Source organism: Homo sapiens, chromosome 13, assembly GCF_000001405.40.
Source record: "Homo sapiens chromosome 13, GRCh38.p14 Primary Assembly".
Taxonomy (NCBI): Eukaryota; Metazoa; Chordata; class Mammalia; order Primates; family Hominidae; genus Homo; species Homo sapiens.
The window spans coordinates 37,355,637-37,356,935 of record NC_000013.11 but is presented as its reverse complement, the minus strand read 5'-3'; positions in this window follow the sequence as shown (position 1 = coordinate 37,356,935).

The following is a 1,299-nucleotide window of genomic DNA, read 5'->3' as shown; positions in this document are numbered from 1 at the left end:
GTATTTCACCTGTGTTCCGGTACTTACTACACCCTAAAATCAGCTTATGATGTCTTACTTATACCTAATCAGAGGTATAAATAATCATAATCTTTCTTCTCTACTATTTATTGGGTTCTAACGTCTCTTTTTATCACTAAACTACCAGGTAGGACCTTTACACTTATGAAGCACAGACCCCAAATCATAGTAGGACTGACTGTTGTCATTAATTCTCAGCTCAAATATAATGGAGAAAGGCCCTCCTCCACCATACTACCAAAACAGCACCCTCTCTATTATCATCCAGTTACAGATAATTCTTTACAGCAATCAGTACAATTTCAAATGAACTGTATTGTTTACATTTCATTGTCTGGGTTGCGCTGGGATAGTACAAACTCCATAAGATCACAAACCTTATCATCTTTTTCTCTGCAGTATCCCCAACACAAAGTAAGTGACTCAATGAATGTTTGTTGAATTAATTAATGTAACTCCATTTACAATTATATATCCCTCAGTTTTTATTTAATCATCAAAAATATTCTGTGCTATGATATTTTTATCTTCAATTTCAAAGAGATAAAAATTGGTAAAGAATGAAAACCAGATTTGAAAAAAAAATTACTTCTCTAATACTTCTATTCATAAACAACCTAAATATTATCTAATATAAGCAAACATTTCATTAATCCAGTCCTGCTAGCCTCTATGACATTAACGAATTTAACTTTATTTCAAATGAATGTGTGGGATAGATACTTGTGATAGGCAATAATAAAAAGTAAATTTCAAAAAAAGCAACTCTATTTTTAATTTTTATGGTTATTTGCACATTTTGAAATATAAAATTCGAAACTTTTTAGCAATTCTATTGATTTACTTAACAGTAAGTCCATCTATTTTCTCAATTCTTGTGAATTATTTCTCATTAACAATCAAAAAACACATCAACAAATATTTTTATATAATTAAAATATACATTCAAATATTTTTTGGTTAATATGTGTGTATTTATTTATACTTTCATAGAGAAGGGAGTTCTTACTATTTTAAAGATACCACACTGAATTCTAGACATGTGCAGCCATGCAAAATGAAAGTCAAATGAATCCCATTACATTCTTATTGGTGTTTTCATGCCTCTATCTGTCTTTCAGAACATAAAAGTCATCCACTTTATACTCTGTAAATGTATGTGCCCTTTATATTCCTGAAAATTACAGACAGCAGGAATAATAAATAAATGCCATCCTTGTTTTTTCTATCTTTTCTAAAACCCATTTACCAAATGAAATCGTCTAATTCAATTCCAAA